The sequence below is a fragment of the Homo sapiens genome, chromosome 8, assembly GCF_000001405.40.
Source record: "Homo sapiens chromosome 8, GRCh38.p14 Primary Assembly".
NCBI lineage: Eukaryota > Metazoa > Chordata > Mammalia > Primates > Hominidae > Homo > Homo sapiens.
The window spans coordinates 72,107,327-72,126,740 of NC_000008.11; the positions used below are offsets into that span (position 1 = coordinate 72,107,327).

A 19,414-nucleotide genomic window follows, 5' to 3' on the forward strand; every position below is an offset into this window, starting at 1 on the left:
AGAAGAAAGTCAACTAGCAGGAGTTTATTTCTGTCCTGCTTCTCTGTTGCTTATCTGCTGCTGAGGCCAATTACAATGAGGAAGGAATCAGCACTGATAATTATACCTGTGTACTCCTCTGTTTTTGTTACCATAAAGGTTTACTAATTGGAAAGTTATCTCAGTGCACCACTGTATTTCAAAAGCTTAGGCCAACTTCCGCAATGATGACTCAGGGCTTCTAACGTAAAGACCTGCTGAATAAATAGAGGTCCTAGTAACACAAATTCCACCATCATATCATCAGTTTAAACATCCTGTGCTCAAGAAGCACCATAATTCCCTTATATAAATACTCAAACCACAGCAATAAACATGGCTAGCATGTTATTATGTCACTTGAATCCACAAAAGTACAATTTGTGATAGAAAGCTAAACTTCCACTTTCTGGCCACTTGAATTATCATACAGACTTTCCTATAATTGTAAAAATTAAAACATTAATTTTTAAAAAGCAATTATATCAACTATATTTGCTCATATATTTATTATTTCAAAAGTAGGATATATAGTAAAAACCATTTAACCAAACTGGGAAACTCTATCATTCAGGTCCATTGGAAGGAGGGATTTTAAACATAGAATTCAAATGTGTGTGTGTATGCGTGTGTTCATGTGCATGTGTGTATAAAACATTCAGGGAACACTGTCATTTTTTAATTAAACTATTATTAACTATACTTATGTACATGTGTGTAGAGTTCATAAGGTTGAACTATCAGATTTTTTCTAAAGTTAATAAAACAATATGAGAATCATATCCCATTCAAGTGGAGTGAACTTCTAGATCACTCTAGACAAGTCCCTACATTTCCTTTTCTTTGAGAACACGTATCTATTTACATAATGCAATATCTCTAGTTCTCAGACCAGACACACTCTTACTTTCAGTTTTGTTTGACAGATTTGATTCCTTGACCTAAAACTTTCACTAAGGTGTCTATAATCACTTTGCATTCCTACATTTTTCTTCTTCCTCTTTGCAAAATTTCTAGACTGTGAACCTGCCTTAAAAGCATCTTTTAACTGACATTAGGATGCTGGGTGGTCATGACCCAATGTCTTCAAAAGCCTGGAACCATTCCAAGTCTGTTTAGAAAGACAGAATGAGAAGGGGAGAAAGGGAGAGTAAAGTAAAAACTCTTTCTCTAGCATTAAAAACTTGCATATATGCTTTGTTTGGAAACTTGAATGCTTGCTGAATTTTTAAAATATTGTTAAGGAATTATTGCCAATAATAATGTTACTGTGGCTCCATTTGAAAAAGAGACCTTATAATTTAGAGATACAGACTAATTATTTACAGATGAGATGATATGATGTCTGATATTTGCTTCAAAACAATATGGGAAGTGGGAACTGGAAGTATACTTGACATAAGATTAGTCATAGATCTTTCATTGCAGCTGAATGCATGGTTACATGCTGGTTTGTTATGCTATTCTGTCTACTTTGTAAACAACTCTATACACATATTAAAAACCTATCTTAGCGGGGCATGGTGGCGCATATATGTAGTCCTAGCTACTTGAGAGGCTGAGGCAGGAAGATCACTTGAGCTGTGGAATTCCAGGCTGCAATGAGCTATGATCATGCCACTGTACATGGATGAAAGAGCAAGACTCTGTTTTCGTTTTGTTTTGTTGTTGTTTTTTTTTAAAAAAAAAAAAACCTCAAAGAGTGTATATATAATAAGAGAATCTCAACTAATTTTCTTTCTTTTTTTTTTTTTTTTGAGACAGAGTCTGGCTTTGTCGCCCAGGCTGGAGTGCAGTGGTTCGATCTTGGCTCACTGCAAGCTCCGCCTCCCAGGTTCACGCCATTCTCCTGCCTCAGCCTCCCAAGTAGCTGGGACTACAGGCGCCCGCCACCACGCCCGGGTAATTTTTTGTATTTTTAGTAGAGACAGGGTTTCACCGTGTTAGCCAGGATGGTCTCGATCTCCTGACCTCGTGATCCACCCGCCTCGGCCTCCCAAAGTGCTGGGATCACAGGCGTGAGCCGCCGCATGCGGCCAAATCTCAACTAATTTTCAAAAATTGAACATATGTATCTGTGTAACTGTCACCCCAATGAAGAAATAAAAAATTACCAGGACTTCAGAAGACCCCACCTGTGCTCCTTTTAAGAACACGCCTGCTTTCTCTAGTGTAGTCACCATCGTAACTTCTAATATTTTCTGTTTGCCTATTTACATAATTTATATAAAGGAAATCATAGATTGTACACTCTTGTGGCTTGATTTTTTGTTCGATATCAGGATGAGATATTTTGGAATTGTTTCATGTAGCTGTAAATCATACATTCTCATTGTGTCATATATGCTAATGTGTGAATATGCCACCATTTAGTTATGCATTTAACTATTGATAGACATTCAGAATTTTCAGGATTTTTGCTGTTACAAATAGTGGCACTGTGAAAATTCTATTTCATATCCTTCAGTGAGCATATGCTTATGATTGTTTGTTGAATATATACCTAAAAATAAGTTATTGGGTCATAGGTTATTATATTTTCAGTTATATTAGACACCACTAAACTGTTTACCAAAGGAGCTATACAAATTTATATTCATATCTGCATTAAGTGTTCTACTTTCTCCACAACTTTGTCAACACTTGGTATTTTCCATATTTTTCATTTTTTATTTCTGGTAGGAGTATTGTGATGCCACATTGTGGTTTTATTTTGCAATTCCCTGACAGCAACAAAGTTGAGTATCTTATTATACTCAATTATGTAACTTATTATACTCAGGGTATTTGGATATTCTCTTTTATAATGTACATAATGTATGTACATAACGTATGTTTAAATATCAATATTTTCTCTTTGGATGTGTCTATTTTTTAAATTGATTGGTAAAAACTCTTCATATGTTCTGGATACAAGTTTTTTTCAGGTATATGTGAGAGAATATCTTTCTCCATTCTGTGGGTTGTCTTAATGGTGTCTTAATATACAGAAATTCTTGATTTTAACATAGTCCCCTTTATCAACGTTTTCCTTTATCTTTAATGCTTTTCATGTAGTATTTTAAAAAACCTTTGCCTACTCCAAGTCACAAAGATGACTTCTTACATTTCTTTCTAAAAACTTTGATATTTTTCCTATCACATATAGATGGATAATCTATATGAAATTGATTTTTATATATGCCATGAGATAGGGAAAGTACATTTGTCCTTCATATGAACATCTAATTAACCCAGCACCATTAAGTTATTTTTGTCAGGTGCATTACTAGTTCAGTTTTGTCATAAACCAGGTGTCTAAATATCTGTAGATTTATATCCTGATTGTGTATTCAATCCTCTTGTTCACTTTGCCTACTTTTACATCACTGTATTAACACTGAATTAATACTGTTGATGGAACTTTAATGTCTTCATCTGTTAACTTCTATATCTAAGATCATTCATGAGTCAACTGTCTGTTTAGAAATTGTTGATTGCATGTGAGACATTTGGTATTAAAAAAAAAAACATAAAGGCTCTAGTTAATGTAAGTCTCCATAAAAGAGGTTCCCCTATTTCCTTTCTTAGAAAGGTAGGTAGAAAGAATGAACATCTCAATTCCATCAGGAATTGTGCCAAGTCAGAGTTGAGTTGCAGTTTTAAGAAGATGCAGTTTAGGTATGATTCATGTCTATTTTAAAGACATGTAATTTCCAGGATCTTAATTGAGATATTTTTGTTGCTTGCTTCCTTGCTTTTGAAACATTGTAGATTGATTTCTGGCATCAGAGATAGTCAATTGACCTCTTTAGGTCCTTATCTCACATGGAATTAAATTTTGGTGAGTATCTTGAGGAGTATTGGCAGGCATATTTTAGGTGTAAAACTACTGAATCTCCCTCTCTGCTCTTTAGAAGTGTTTTGCATTCCTCCTCAGCCTCCTGTACAGACAGACCTAGAACTCACAAAATGACCTGTGAGAAAATTTTTAATGCAATTAAACCCCTTAAATTTCCAATTCATTACTCTAGCTCCACGTAACCACTGAAAGCTTTGCCGGTGTGAATCATTCTACTTTCTACCTCCATGAGATCAACTGTTTTAGCTCCCACATCTATACCTGTGTTTCCATACATGGCTTATTTCACTTAACATATTAACCTCCAGTTCCATCCATGTTGCTGCAAATTACATGATTCAATTATTTTTTATGGCTAAATAGTATTCCACTGTGTATATATACACCACATTTTCTTTATCCATTTGTTCACTGATGGATACAGGTTGATTTCATATCTTAAATATGGTGTAAGGGGGATAAAGAGATGTTGATTAATGGGTGCAAACATACAGTTAGAAGGAATAAATTATAGCAGAGTAGAGTAACTATAACAACAATATAGTGTATACTTCAAAATAACTAGAAAATACCGCAAATATTCTGACTTGATCATTACACATTCCATGCATGTAACAAAATATCACATGTGCCACATAAACATGCACAAATACTATGTATCAATAAAAATAAAAAATAAGTAAAAGGTATAAGATTTAAAAAGCTTGTTTTTTTAATAACAACTTTTTCCAAGAAAAATAAAAATAAGAAAGCATGTTACACTTCCCGTAAATAATGAAACACAGCTTTTAGTCATACACATTTGAATGTATCTATAAATTATCAGAATAAAAAGTCTTTCCCCTTCCAACGTTTCTGGAATGCTACTATTTTAACTTTGCTAAATAATTTTTGGTGTACATAGTTTTGCCTTTTTCCCAAAAGTATAGTGTAATGCAGTAGGACAAAATAGTTGTCAAATACGTTGAGTCATTTATTAAAGTTATGACTCAGCTTTAGAAAGAAAAATTGCAGCTGAGAGCATTTTGGGAGGACAAGGCAGGTGAATCACCTGAGGTCAGGAGTTTGAGACCAGCCTGGCCAACATGGTGAAATCCCGTGTCTATTAAAATACAAAAAATTAGCTGGGCATGGTGACAAATGCCTGTAATCCCAGCTACTTGGGAGGCTGAGGCAGGAGAATTGCTTGTACCCAGGAGGCGGGCTTTGCCATGAGCCATGATTGCACCATTGCACTCCAGCCTGGGCAACAGAGGGAGACTCTGTCTCAGAAAAAAAAAAAAATAAAGACAAAAAAAAAAAAAATAAAGAAACCACAATTCCACACAACACACATATCAGGACATCTGCCACATCTTGGGCACTTTCAGCACAGCCAAGGTTTGCCCTGTATGTGACCTCTGCAATTACAGCTTTTTGGTCTGGAGAAAAGAATTTAAGGGCAATGAAATCATATGCTGAAAGGTGAAAAAAATTGACTATGTCCATCATATTACTTCTTACAAAATGTGAATTTATAAAATTACCAAGAGCATAAAGTATTGAGCAGTTGATGTGGAAGCAAAATATATTCAGAGTCAAATCCTGAAATGAAATCTAAGAGGCCATATCAATGGGTGAGGGGTTTGATTTAGCCATGTCAGGCTATCGAAAAACAAAAGAAAACAGAAACTTTGAAAAGCAGAGAGTGCTCAAAGGTTTTCAAACATTTTTTTTTTCTGGCGGTACCAAACATCTTTCAAATAAAGTTCACTCAGAATCTCAGTATGTATGCACAAAAGGCAAACACAAAATTACTCTGGTTGAAGCAAGTATCAAGGGTCTAAAGCCCTTTTCCAAACATCTTTCAATGTACCACATCAGCCCCTCCAGGGTTGTAATGGAAAGGTACAACTTTACAAAGAACACACTTCATACACTGAGGTGGAGAAAAGAAACACAGAGCAAAGTATGATACTAGTTAGTGTTGAGAGAGTACTAGGGAATGGAGCTACTGCCAAGAGAAGCAGGACACAGTTTGAGAACCTATTGCGTGGTCCAGGAGATTGCTGGAGACTTTGTTCTCTCAGTAGACTCCAGCTCCCACTATCTTCCTAGTTCCTACTTCACTTCCAGGTCAAGCATGTTCTAAAACAAACTTCAATTTGCTTGTATTTATCTGAATTCTTTTAGTGATCTGAGTGACTTTTCTATATTTTACAAAACTGGAACAGATTTCGTCTGTATTTTCTTGGTCACCGATTCAAATGTTTGTCCATGGTAAGGTGTCTTATCCTTGTATCTGTCACTCTATGACCTGAAAAATTATGAAAAATTTAATTAAAGGTGACAGATAAAGTGATATTGTTATAAATAATTTATGATTATTTATTTATTCAACCAACTTCATTTGAGCCAATAGGTCCTTTGTAAATGTTAGGTATACAGTGGTATTCAATTAACACATTGCTCCTGCTGTGATTATTTTTATTATTAAAAAAGGAGAAGCCAGGAGAGAGAGGAAGCAGAGAAATCTTGACATTGGTTCACATTCTTTTCTTTTTCTTTTCCTTTTTTTTTTTTTTTTTTTTTTTTTTTGAGATGGGATCTCACCCTTTTGCTCGAGCTGAAGTGCAGTGGCGCAATCATGGCTCACTGCAGGCTCAACCTCCCGGCCTCAAGCCATACTCCCACCTCAAGCTCCTGAGGAGCTGGGACTATAGGCACGTACCAACACTCCTCAATACTTTTCCTTTGTATTTTTTAATAGAGATGGGGTCTTGCCATGTTGCCCAGGCCGGTTTCAAACTCCTGACCTCAAGTGATCCACCTGCCTTAGCCTCCCAAAGTGCTGAGATTATAGGCAGTTCATTCTTTATAATTTCTGAGAAAATTAGTTTTTAAGCTCATCTTTTTTTTTTTAATCACAACAGCATAAAGAATCTCATTACAGTGAGTTAGGATTGCCTAGGGATTATACGTGTGGGCTCCAAGTCTGAATGCCTGGGTATAAACCACAGCTGCCACTTCCTGGCTGTGGACCTCTAGCAATTTACTCATTCTATTCAACTCATCTGAAAAGGAGATAGAATTATATTTCAGCCCAATGAAATCCCTCCCTGTCCACCGATCCATAATAGCATCCCTGATGTACACATGACAACATTTCAGAATATTTTCTGTCAGTACTAGGAAAACAGAAGTCCTTGTAATGAATGGTTGGACACAAGACCATTTAAAGATTAATTCTTAACAGTTATGCTTGAGAATGCAGGATAAGACCTTGCCAGATTTTCTTCTTCTGTTAATGTAAGGGTATGAAATATTTCTAAAATATTTTAGCCAATTCATATATTTTAAATACTTTATTTCCAACAATGAGATGGCATTTACAATACACAAGTCACAAATTTCACCAGTAAAAACTCCTTTCAGACTTTTCTTAAGCTAACTAGTAAAGCCTAAGATATTATTCAAGATACTGGGAAGAGAAGTGCTCATAGAAGCCACTTGTGCAGTGTAGGTTTTTGATGTAACACAGGTTAAGTTTGACAGGATGTCTCAATGCAGAAGTCAGTAATATCATTATTGCCCTAATTCTGAAAACTATACTTTTAGTGTGGATAATATTATTAATTTTGTATTTGTAGTCATATTCTACTATGTTCCCATATAAATTTAGAGTAATTATATGTTTATGCATTTTATCTTCAACAAACATAAACGTAGATGAACGAGATTAAAAGTAAAAGTTCTTTAACTGGGGATATGATCCCCAGCTTCTTTTACACTGTGTAGCATCCAGTGCCCAACAGTACAAAAGGTAACATAGGTATCTAATACTATTTAATACATTCCTTTCCGATTAACTTAGGTTGAGTGAATTCTGTTGTCTGCAACTGAGAACCCTTACAGATATAATTTGGAAGGGCAGTATTCTGTACAACTCTGATAAAGATCTCTATTTGGTTTGGCCTCAATCAATTTATATGCCTTCACTGAGTACACATAATACATCAGTTTTGAGTGCACTTGAGAAATAAAAATATGTACTACAAAATATGTTAGCACCCAGACCATATTTCTTCAATATTACAAAAGACTGGGTCAAATGCTTGCTTCTTTCGATCAAAAATACACTTTCAACAGTAGTCTCCTGGCCTTCCATTTGAGTGATCCACCAAGAAAACAAATTAGGCCAGGCCGGTGGCTCACGCCTGTAATCCTAGCACTTTGGGACGCCAAGGCAGGCAGATCACCTGAGGTCAGGAGTTTGAGACCAGCCTGGTCAACATGGTGAAACCCCGTCTCTACTAAAAATACAAAAATTAGCTGTGCGCAGTGGCAGGCACCTGTAATCCCAGCTACACGGGAGACTGAGGCAGAAGAATCACTTGAACCCAGGAGGTGGAGGTTGCAGGGAGCCAAGATCGTGCCACTGTACTCCAACCTGACAGAGTGAGACTCTGTCTCAAAAAAAATGCCTCTCTCCATAGGCTATCCATCTGAGAATGTTTTAAAATAGCTGTAGAAATCACCTTTATTTCTTTTAACAAAATCAGTTCAGTATGTGTTTTTCTTCAGTCTTCCAAAGTTTCTTAAGCTTACCATGGTGGTGTGGCATTCTCTCCTATTAAGATTTCCCTCATTGGGATAGAATTATTTTGGAAAAGGAGGCATACACTCATGTTAGAACACCGAGAAACCTGCTTACTTGCAGGTTCAGTTTAGTTTTCAAAAAATAGTTAGAAACCTGCTTTCAATTTCTTGACCTAATATCAGCCTTTCTTTCCCTCGACCTTCTCAGTTAAAAAGATGATTTTCCTGGTCAGAGAAGCTTAAATCAAAAAAAAAAAAAAAAATTTGAATAATTCTTCTCTTTGTTGAAAAATGTGTCAAAAATATTTACAGTGTTTATTCCCTTTATTTACAATTCATAGCCAGTTATATGATTGGACATCCCACTATATTAAGTTTTGATACTTTGATATAGAAAGCCTTCAGTTTTTTTTACTCTTCAGTATTGTGTTGGCTATTCTAATCCTTTGGTCTCTCCATATAAACTTTAAAATCAGTTTGTCAGTATCTACAAAGTTGCATGCATGCTGGATTTTGATTGCATTTAATCTATAAATCAATTGGGAAAATTGACACTTATATTGGGTCTTCCAAGCCATAAATATGGAATTTATCTCCATTGATTTAGATCTTTATTGATTTCTTCTTATTAGAGTTTTGTATTTTTGCACATATAATCTAATACATATTTTATTAGATTTATACCTGAATATGTGAGTTTTGGTGCTATTATAAATGATTTTTAATATCAAATTCCAGTTACACGTTCCTGGTATTGAGGTAAGCTATTGACTTTAGTATATTAACCCTATATCATGCAAAGTGTTGTAACTGCACATTAGTTCCAGGCATTTTGTTGTTCTTGATGGCTCCTCAGAATTTTCTGTATAGACAGTCATGTTATCTGTGAACAGTTTTATTTTATTTCTCTACCAATCCATATAACTTTTCCTTTTTTCTGTCTTATTATACTAGCTAGGATTCCAGTATGGTCTTGAACAGGAGTGATGATGGGAAGGTAAATCTTTGCCATGTTCCTGATCTTATGGGAGAGCACCTAATTTCTCACCATTGTGATGTTACCTGCCCCTCTTTACTCTTGATAATTTTCCTTGTCCTGAATTCCACTTTATGTAAAATTAATATAACTCCTCCTGCTTTCTTCTGTTTAGTATTAGCATGGTATATTTTTCTCCATCATCCCTTTATTTAAACCAATCTCAGCGTTTCTACTTTTAAAGTAGGTTTCTAATAGAAAACATATAGTTGGTTTTTTTACCCACTTTGACAATCACTGTCTTAGTTGATGTAGTTAAACCATTCATGTTTAAAGTGATTATTGGTCAATTTTGATTGATATCTACTATAAATGTTTTATATCTACTTGTAACTGTTTTCTATTTATGACACTTGTTCTTTGTTTTTGTTTTTCTTTTCTTCCTTTCTGTATTAGTTTCCTAGGGCTGCCATAACAAATTGCCATAAACTCGGTGGCTTAAAACAATAGGAATTTATTCTTTCGCCAATCAGTAGGCCATAAAACCAAAATAAATATGTCAACATGGTTGTTTCCTGCAGAGGCTCTAAAGGAGAGGCTATCCCATTCTCTCTCCAAGTTTCTGGTAGTTTCCAGCAATTCTTGGTGGTCCTTAGCTTGTAGATGTATCACTCCAATCCTTGCCCTCATTTTTCACATTGCCTTCTGTGAGTCTCTCTGCATCCTTTCCTCTTCTTAAAGACACTAGTCATTGTATTCATGGCTTATCCTAAATCCAGCATGATTTCACCTCAAAATTCTTAACTAATTACATGTGCAAAGACCCTATTCCCAAATGAGATCACATTCTGAGATTTTGAGTAGACATAAATTTAACAGAAACACTATTCAAACTACTACATTTCACTCTCTGATCAACCAAAATTATATCTATCACATATGGAAATTCATTCACCTCATTCCAAAATTCCGAAAGTTGAAATCCATCCCAGCATCAATTCTAAATTAAAAATTTTATCTAAATATTATCAATTCAAAAGTTTTAAATATCATCATCTAAATAAGTTATCCATGACTCTTGGTATGGTCCATCCCAGGGCTAAATTACTCTCCATTTGTGGACCAGTGAAATTGAAGAGGAGGCAGGACTCCATTCTGGACCATATTGAAGATTGGCTGAAACAGAGAAGAGGCACCAAAAGCACTTCTCCATAAGACATGCCCACCAGTGCCATGTCAGTTTACCACTGCCATGGCAACACCCAGAAGTTATTGTCCCTTGCTATGGCAATGACCTGGAAGTTACAACCTATTTTCTAGAAATTTCTGAATAGCCCATCCCTTAATTTGCATGTAATAAAAATTGGGCATAAATATGACTGCAGGACTTCTGATCTGCTACTCTTCATGCTGCCTGTGGGGCAGCTCTGCTCTGCAGGAGCAGTCATGGAGCTGTAACACTGCCACTTCAATAAAGCTGTTTTCTTCTATTACTAGCTCACTCTTGAATTATTTCCTAAGCAAAGCCAAGAAGCTTCCTGGGCTAAGCCTGCTCTGCATCAAGTAGTGCCCAATGTGGAGCTGAGGAGAGAAGACGATGGTGTGACAGATGGTGAGAGAATTGGCAGTTGGCAGTCGGCAAGGCAAAGGCAAAGGTAAGAGAGGAGAAGAGACAGTGATCGGTGAGAGGATGACTAGAGAAGCGATGAGCAGAGAGATGGAGCAAGATGGTGATAGAGAGAGATGGTAAAGCAGTCGGTGACCGAGGCTGCAAGAGCTGTAACACTGTGGCTATAATATCAAAGAGCTGTTAACATTGCAAGAGCTATAACATTAACCAAAGCCTCTTTTTAGAGCTATCATTTTTCCTAGCAGGCAGCAGAGCTGAGTGAATGGGAAAGTGGCTGTAGTGCCACTGCCTTGTAGGAGACCCACTGCTCTGACCCACAGGCAGATGGGTTACCGGTTTGGTGGCAGCCTCTCCCACCACGACAGCCGAGTCCACCCAAACTGGGGAACCTGAAGAGAACTTTACCAGCGTCCCACATGGATGATCAGTTGCTGTCATTTTGGCTCCTGTGGAGGGGTGAGTATACCCTCTATCTCCCCCCACATCCCAAATAATATTGGGTGAGACAGGAAACAAAAGCCTTTAGCTAAGCAGTCAGTTAAAAGTTTCCTGTCATTTGGGTGCCCTGAAGCATGTCTTTGTCACCCCTTTTCTTGTTCCTTTCTCTGATTCCATTTTATTGCTCTATCAGTCATTCTATTTTAAGTCATAAAATGTGTGTTTTAATTGCAGTTTTTTTTTTGTTTGTTTCTTTTGACTTCCTGTTAACTGTATTTGGGAAATTGTTTAAGGCAGGATGCTTGCTTGTGAGAGGTCTCCTCTTGTGTTGACTCTGAGATGCCAGAGTCACGTTGCTTCGTGACACCAATTTGAACTGGGGTTCACTGTTGGCACCCCATGGCTGCCCCAGGATTGTTGGCATTTGGTGAGGAGACCCTCATTGACTGACACTCAGGTACTCCAGGTGTTTGGGCATTGGTACTGTCGGCCACGCCTTAGATGCTCTGGGATTTTCAGCATGAACATTCCCTCTAGGATTGTGAGTTACAGCCCCTTCCTCTAGGGGAATCTTGGCCTTTCCTTTTCTGACCTGGAGTTAGGGGTCATTATTTTCCTAATAGCCAGTTCCAGACCCCTTCCTGTGTATTGTCTTACAACGACTTTGGTCAAGCCCATCTTTGTCAAAGGAACCAAGAGTTCCTGGACCCCTGGACTGATAGCTGACCACCTACAGCAGTAGACAAGTGGCCACTCGAACATTGTTTTTGTTGGCTCCGCTACCGGGTAGGTCCTCCAGCAAGTAGGGACTTCTGACATCTCCCCTTGGGAAATGCTCTTCACCCCTTTGCTTTCTCCTTTCCACAGTCACCATTTCTTTAACCCCTTTCTGCCCAACCTAAGATGCTTTCCTCACTCTGGAATTTAGGCTCAACATTCTACTGCCCTTTTGCTTCTTGTGATCCACTTCTGTAACATTTTTGCTGTCCATATTTACACCTTCTTTGTAGAAAGTAGAAATTTAGAAGGGAAAAGTAACTAGGCATTCATTAAACTCAGGCTAAGTGAAACCCCCTGTAAAGATTCTTACTAGACCTGGGGATAACAGTGAGCATCCCAAGAGACTCATTATTGGAGTGCCTTTTAGGCAATTGGAGTAAATTCAAAGTAGACAAATTGAATAAGAAAAAAATATTTTTTATTGCAACAATGTATGGGTTCAATACAAATTGGCGAACCAACAGATCTGGCCTAGGCATAGTTCTTTACATTATGATATGGCACAATTAGATTTGTTCTGTACAAAGGAAGAAAAATGAAAAGAAGTTTCTTATGTGCAGACTTTTATGGCCCTACATGAGCAACCTAACCTAAGGGCTAGCTGTAGAATGTGTCTGGCTTATGATACTCTCAGGTACCCAGAAGCCACACCAGATATCCTAGATTACTCCCTCCTAGATCCTTTTCCTAGGAGGTCTGCAGTGCCCCCTTTAGAGCCTCCTCAGTCTCCCTAATTCTGAGGGGGACCATCAGTTGTGTAGCTCAGGATTATACTCCAATATCATCAAATTCCCCTCCCCCTTAACCTATAATCCCTGACCAATGTCCTCCACTACTGGAGGAAGTAAGCCCAACTAGTCCTACCAGGAGTGGGGCCCCATATCAACCCCCAAAGTCAAGCCTGTGTCCTTTGCAGCAGGTAGCTGAGAGAGAGGGAGAAACAATAAAAGTATATGCAACTTTTTCCATGTCCAGTTTGGCTTTATGCAAGGGGAAATTTGGTCAGTTTTCAGAGGATCCAGGGAAGTTTGTGGAGGAGATTATTAAGTTGCCCATATCTTTTGATTTAACTTGGCATGACCTGCAAATATTATTATGTGCTTGTTGTACCATAGAGGAAACACAAATAATTCTAGGTACTACCCATGAAACTGCAGCTGGAGTAGCCACTTGTAACCCAGGCCATGACGTTTACTGTGTGGAAGCAGATGCAGTTCCAGATCTAGATCCCCAATAAGATTATCAGAGGGGTCCCCAAGATCTCAAATGCAGAAATCACATGCTGACTTGTTTAACAGAAGTTATGAAAATGTGTATGGTTAAGTCCATTTATTATGACACGTGAGATAAATAACTCAGAAGAAAGGTAAACATCCCATTCTATTTCAGGGCCATTTGATTGAAGCACTCAAGAAATATACTAATACAGACCAAGACTTCCTGGAAGGATGAGCTCTCCTGGGTGTGCATTTTATTACTCAATCTGCCTACGACATTTGGAGGAAGCTACAAAAGGTAGCAATGGGACCCCAAACCCCCCTGAGCCAAATCTCAGACAGTGCCCTGGGGACAGGGCAGAGGAAAAGGTGAAAATCAAAAGAATTGGCCAAAAAGCACAATTCTTAGTGGCTGCTTTAGGCTCCCTGCTGCCTTGGGGTTGCCTACCCTGAGGAAATGTGGTGAGATCAGCATCTGGGATGCTCAGACAAGAGCCCTCAAATTGCTGGCTTCTAGGCCAAACTCAGTGTACTTCTATAAGGTAGGTAGAGGGGCACTGGAGGAAGGACTGCTCCAGGTTTAAAAGGGAGTCTAAGCAGGAGGCTTAGGCACGAGAATTGCTTGAACCCAGGATGTGAAGTTTGCAGTGAGCCAAGATTGCACCACCACAATCCAGCCTGGGTGACAAAAAAAAAAAAGTCTAAGCCATCCAGACCCATAATACCCAAGAAAGCAGAGGATCCATGGAGACCAACGTCCTCCACAGATACTACTGGACACCTTACCATCTCCACAGAGGAGTCTCAGGTAAGTTTTTATATGGCAGGCAAAAATATTGAGTTCTTATTCGACATGAGAGCAGCCTACTCAGTTTTTACCCATTTCTAAGGCCTGCAGTCTTTCCACTCTTGTATGGTAACAGGGATTGATGGCCAGCCAAAAATGAGGAGATTTACCCAACCCCTTGGTTGTCCTTTGGGGATACCATACATTTTTCCACAAGTTTTTGCTTATACCTGTATGCCCTGTCCCTATACTGCAGAGAGACTTACTTTCCCCATTACAGGCCATAGTTCAATTTGGTCTGACTCATGAAAAGGCAGTAGGCCAGGACTAGACACTACTCCTAGCTGTAAGTACTAGCCTTAACACAGACAAGAAGAAGAGCTCCCTTCCATGGAAAATTGCTTCTTAGGTAGACCCCTCTGTCTGAGACATGGAAGTCCCTGGTAGAGCTGTTAATGTACCCCCAGGCCAGGTTATTTTAAAACCCAGTGTTAATTACCCATGGAAGATATAGTATCCTTTGAGACCTGAGGCTCAGAAGGACAACCAGCCCTTGATAATGAAGTTCCTAAGTATGAATTATCACAATTCTGTCAGTCTCCATGTAACACCTCCATTTTATCTGTAAAGAAACCAAATGTAGAATATAGATTTGTTAAGGATCTGAGAGCAGTTAATGAGACAGTAGTCACAGTCTACCTAGTAGTTCCTAATCCTTATACAATATTGACCCAAGTCAATAGGGGTCTGAGTACTTTGGGATTATTGTGGTTAGTTAGGAAGTCTAGGGAGATGGCTGTGAGATTCCCTGGATAGGCCTGAAGGTGGAACCTTCTATCTTGCGGATGTTGATGACAAATCTGACACCATGAAGATGACTCTCTGATGCTATAAGTTTTGAAATATTTACTATAGGGTTTGTTCCCACCCATACTAGATCAAGGTAATTGGCAGAGCAAGCAAGATTAACAGTGACAGCTTGGTGTCTGGTTGGGCCTTAGAGTAGCCTCTATACCCAACAAAGGCAAAAGAGGTGTTTCCTTGGAGGGGGCAGTTGACTAACACAATAGAAAGTAAGTATTGCAATAAGGAAAAAGAAAAATTAATGCTCCCATTCCCACCCACAGCATCATGGTTATCACTTCTGGCTGAGTGTTGATTCTTTTAAACAGGTAACAGAGGTCTTCAAAGGTTCACAATGTAGGTCGTGATGCCCTCCTTTTTGTTCCTGCAACTCATAAGAAACAGGTTTTATCCTGGATAGGTGTACCAAATTAGTTACCCCTTTAGTTTAACAGCAGTGCAAATATGCAACGATGTGTGATATGGGCCCTTCCATGTCAGTTGTAATTGATCATCAGGGGATTCTTGTTTCCAAGTTTTCAGTAAGATTATGTCTCCTGGTTGAATTGGGGGGGTGGATGTTAATTCTTTCCTTTGTAGGTGGGAACTATATTTTATTTCCATATGATTGAAGGGCCTTTTGGTGCTGGCCTAAGGTGATAATATGGGTGGGCATTCTATGTGTGTCCTCATTAAACAGGAGGTCTACAGTTAAAAAGGGCCTACCGTAAGTCATTTCAAATAGACTAAGTTTTAGAGTTCCCTTCAGAGCCATTCTCACACGTAAAAGGTCTATGTGTAAAGGAGAGACCCAGGCCTCTGAAGTTAAATTGCCTCAAAAGGCTTTGAGAAAACAAGAAAGCTAAGTTGATGTCTTTGGGTTTGTGATTTCAAGGAATCACCAACCCAAGCGAATTAGGGGAGCCAGGCCTAGAAGGTACCCTGGGAGTCATCATGAGAAAATCCTGGAATGGGTATACAAGAACACAGGGCAGGAAGCTGGGTCTGTACTAAGACCGCCCATTCCATCCAGAGACTTATGTGCTCTGGCTGGCTTAAACTACAAGTTATTGGAATTCACCTGGATGAGGAATGTCCTTACCTTAAGTCAGGATGGAATACTTACTGAGAGTGGTTTTTATAAAAGTAAATATTATTTCTTCTCAAGCATCTGAATATAATTTAACATATGGTGAACGGACTTTTTCTTCTGGTTTCTTGGAAGAATTGATTTGCTTTAAATGATGAAATGTTATACCAGTAGCAGCTCACAATTGCACAACTGGGACTGTTAATTGGGATTAGTGAAATAATTTAGGGGGATCTCATCCTAGTCTCAACCAACTAGAAAAATCTCTTCTCCAGCCATTATTATTGTTGTTGCACTCTTGTCGGATGACCACTTTTCTATTTCACTGATGCACCCCCTTCCAATTACCGTTGCTACTTTTTTGTTGTTTTCTCCGAGTTTCTACGTTATTACTACTCAATAGGGTTGAGGTTTTCCTCAGCACTTTTCTGAATAAGAAACCTCAGTTTACTGTGAGAAGCTTAATAATAGGAAAATTGAGCTCGCAGAGAGCACTTTTCAGCTTTCCGATGCTTAATGTTGTTTGTCAGGTTCTCACTAGATGAATATGATGAGGCTTTTAAAACCCATTAGCTTTCCAAGAGCATTCCCTTTTCTTCCTTGGATTCAGATCATTTTCACACTGTTTTCTTCCAGGAGTGGCACCAGTAACAAGGGAATCAGCTCTAAACTGAGTTCCTGAAATTAAGCTCATTAGAAACATTCTTCTCTTAGTAAACCTTGATTTTATATCCAGCTATTTACAGAAATCTCAATTTCAGCTTTTCTCAGATACAATTTTTATCAAAATCTGGATAATACTTCATCTATACTTTCAGTCTCATAAATTATGTTATATTTAAAAGCATTGAGAGTAAAAGCACTTTCCTCTTGTGAAGAAGTTACGACTGTATTTTTAGAACATGGAGTTTAAGAATATTATAATAAAGGAAGTAGAATTACTTTTAAAAGATTATGACTAATGATCTTTACAAAATCTAAATGGAATACTTTGTTGTGACGTTCAGTTGTCTTTCATGTTCATATAGTTTGCTATTAATTGTGTAGGAGGGTCATATTGTCATAATAAGTGACTGAGGGACAGTATGTTATAATATTAAGCAGACCAGGAAAGTGTTCTACTGCCCTTGGAAAATGAACGTATGCTACATATGCGATGGTGACCTTAACGTGTGTACATTTGTAAACGTACAGTTTAAGATTGCTTTTGAAATACATATTTTTGGAGTATTAGTTACATGAAAGTCAAAAGTTAAATGCAAAATTTCATGGAGGGGCTTCCCGTCCATTCTGTAATGCCGAGACTTCTCTCCTCTGTTCAGCTAGGATATTCTAGACTTTCTGGTACATTCTGATTATATATTATGGTAGTAAAAGTACCCACATGAGAATTATACAAATTTGATTCTCACGTGAACCATCTGTATAGGTTATTTTCATACAGACCATGTGGTAGGTTATGTTAACTCTGTAAGCCTCAACTTCCCCATAAGGGGAATTGGGGTGATCATGTTCACCTCACAGTTTCATTATACAGATAGATGGCAGAATATTTAAAGCTTATATTAATAGGCAGCCACTCTTATATTCAGTACCTAAAATATTGTAGTTGCTTAAATATGTCTATGGACTTGAATATTGTAGGCAGCACACAACTTTATGCCCATATTTTTTTTTACAATATAGCTAAAAGTATTTCTGAAGTTTTATTTCAAGTATCTGTGATTTACAGATTACCTAGAGGTGGCATTCCTAACATATAGATGAGTATACTCATTACATCCTGAAAGTTTATTCAGTATATTCCCACATAAATTTGATACAAACTGTGGTTAAATTTCTAGATTACATCACAGAAAACTATAGCATCCATAAAATAGCTGAAATCATATTGTTACAGTAGGTGGCTAGTAAGACATGAGGAGGGCAGGAGAGAGGGCCACCCCTTGCCCAACCACGAATGTCAGGTGACCATCAGGTGATGATCAGACAGCTGTTAAGCTGTCTCTCTAAGATAATAATTGGTTGCAGCTGGCGCCAGGACAAGTCAGTGTTTCAATAGAGAGATAAAACCTGAAGCTGGTGATCATAAGCTTCCCAGTAAGATCTCAGGAGTCGGGCCAATGGGCTCAAGCATCCACACTAAGAGGCAAAATGGTGGTTTAAGCACTTGACTGGTAAGAGAAAAAGGACTCAATTGTGCATGTGGGTCCTCCCAAGTGCTGACAGTCCACTGTGCATGCAGACAGCCCACCCCAAGGGAAGAATTAGAGGAGAAGGAATGCAAGACCCTAGAAGCATGACAATGTCTAAAACCCCAGTTCAAAGGTCAAACAATGCACTTGAATCTCTCAAGTCATTCACTTTGCCCTCTTCCAAGTGTTCTTTACTTCCTTTCATTCCTCCTCTAAAGCTTTTTAATAAACTTTCACTCCTGCTGTAAAACTTGCCTTAATCTCTCACTCTGCCTTTTACGCCCCTCTGTCTGAGGAGGCAAGAATTGAGGTTGCTGCAGGCCTGTACCGATTTGCCATCACTAACAATGGTAGTTTACCTAATGCACCAAATCCATTAATCTTGAGAGCCCTAGTTTACTGTGAGTATATATGCCTTGAAGGTTTAGCTAACCCTGATGACCACTGAGCCCTCGTGGATATGGTTTTCCTCCTTGAGATTATGAGTGCAGCAAAGTGCTCTGGAGAAATTGGTAAGAGAGAAGGAAGAAGAAAGAAAACTTCAACAGAACACCTACTGGAAGAAATTTGGAGACTGTTGAGAAAGGGTCTGAGCAAAGGTAGAACTAATTTAAAAGAATTATATTATACACCCATGTTCATAGCAGCATTGTTCAAAGTAGCCAAAAGATGGAAGCAACTCAAGTTTTCATCAACAGATGAATGCATAAACAAAATGTACTGTATATACATACAATGAACTATTACTCAACCTTAGAAAGGAAAAGGATTCTGACACATGCTACAACACAGGTGAAATTTGAAGACATTATGCTAAGTGAAATAAATCAATGGTGAAAAGAAATGCTGTATGATTTCACTTACATAAGGTATGAAGAGTAGTCAAATTCATAGAGACAGAGAGTAAAATTGGGGTAGTTTGGAAAGGAAGAGGAGGTTGGATAATTCCCGTTTAAAGGGAATGGAATTTCAGTTTTGCAAGATGAAAAGAGTTCTGGAGATTGGTTGCATGAAAATGTGA

General features: G+C 38.1%; 1 long non-coding RNA gene across 1 annotated transcript; it reads left to right on the forward strand.

The window, feature by feature from the left end:
- Nucleotides 1-6,437: 6,437 nt before the first annotated feature.
- On the forward strand, nucleotides 6,438-19,237 carry LOC124901962 (uncharacterized). The gene is made up of 2 exons (XR_007060963.1): nucleotides 6,438-11,499; nucleotides 13,651-19,237. It is a non-coding gene; the product is annotated as an uncharacterized LOC124901962 (long non-coding RNA).
- The last annotated feature ends 177 nt before the right edge of the window (nucleotides 19,238-19,414 follow it).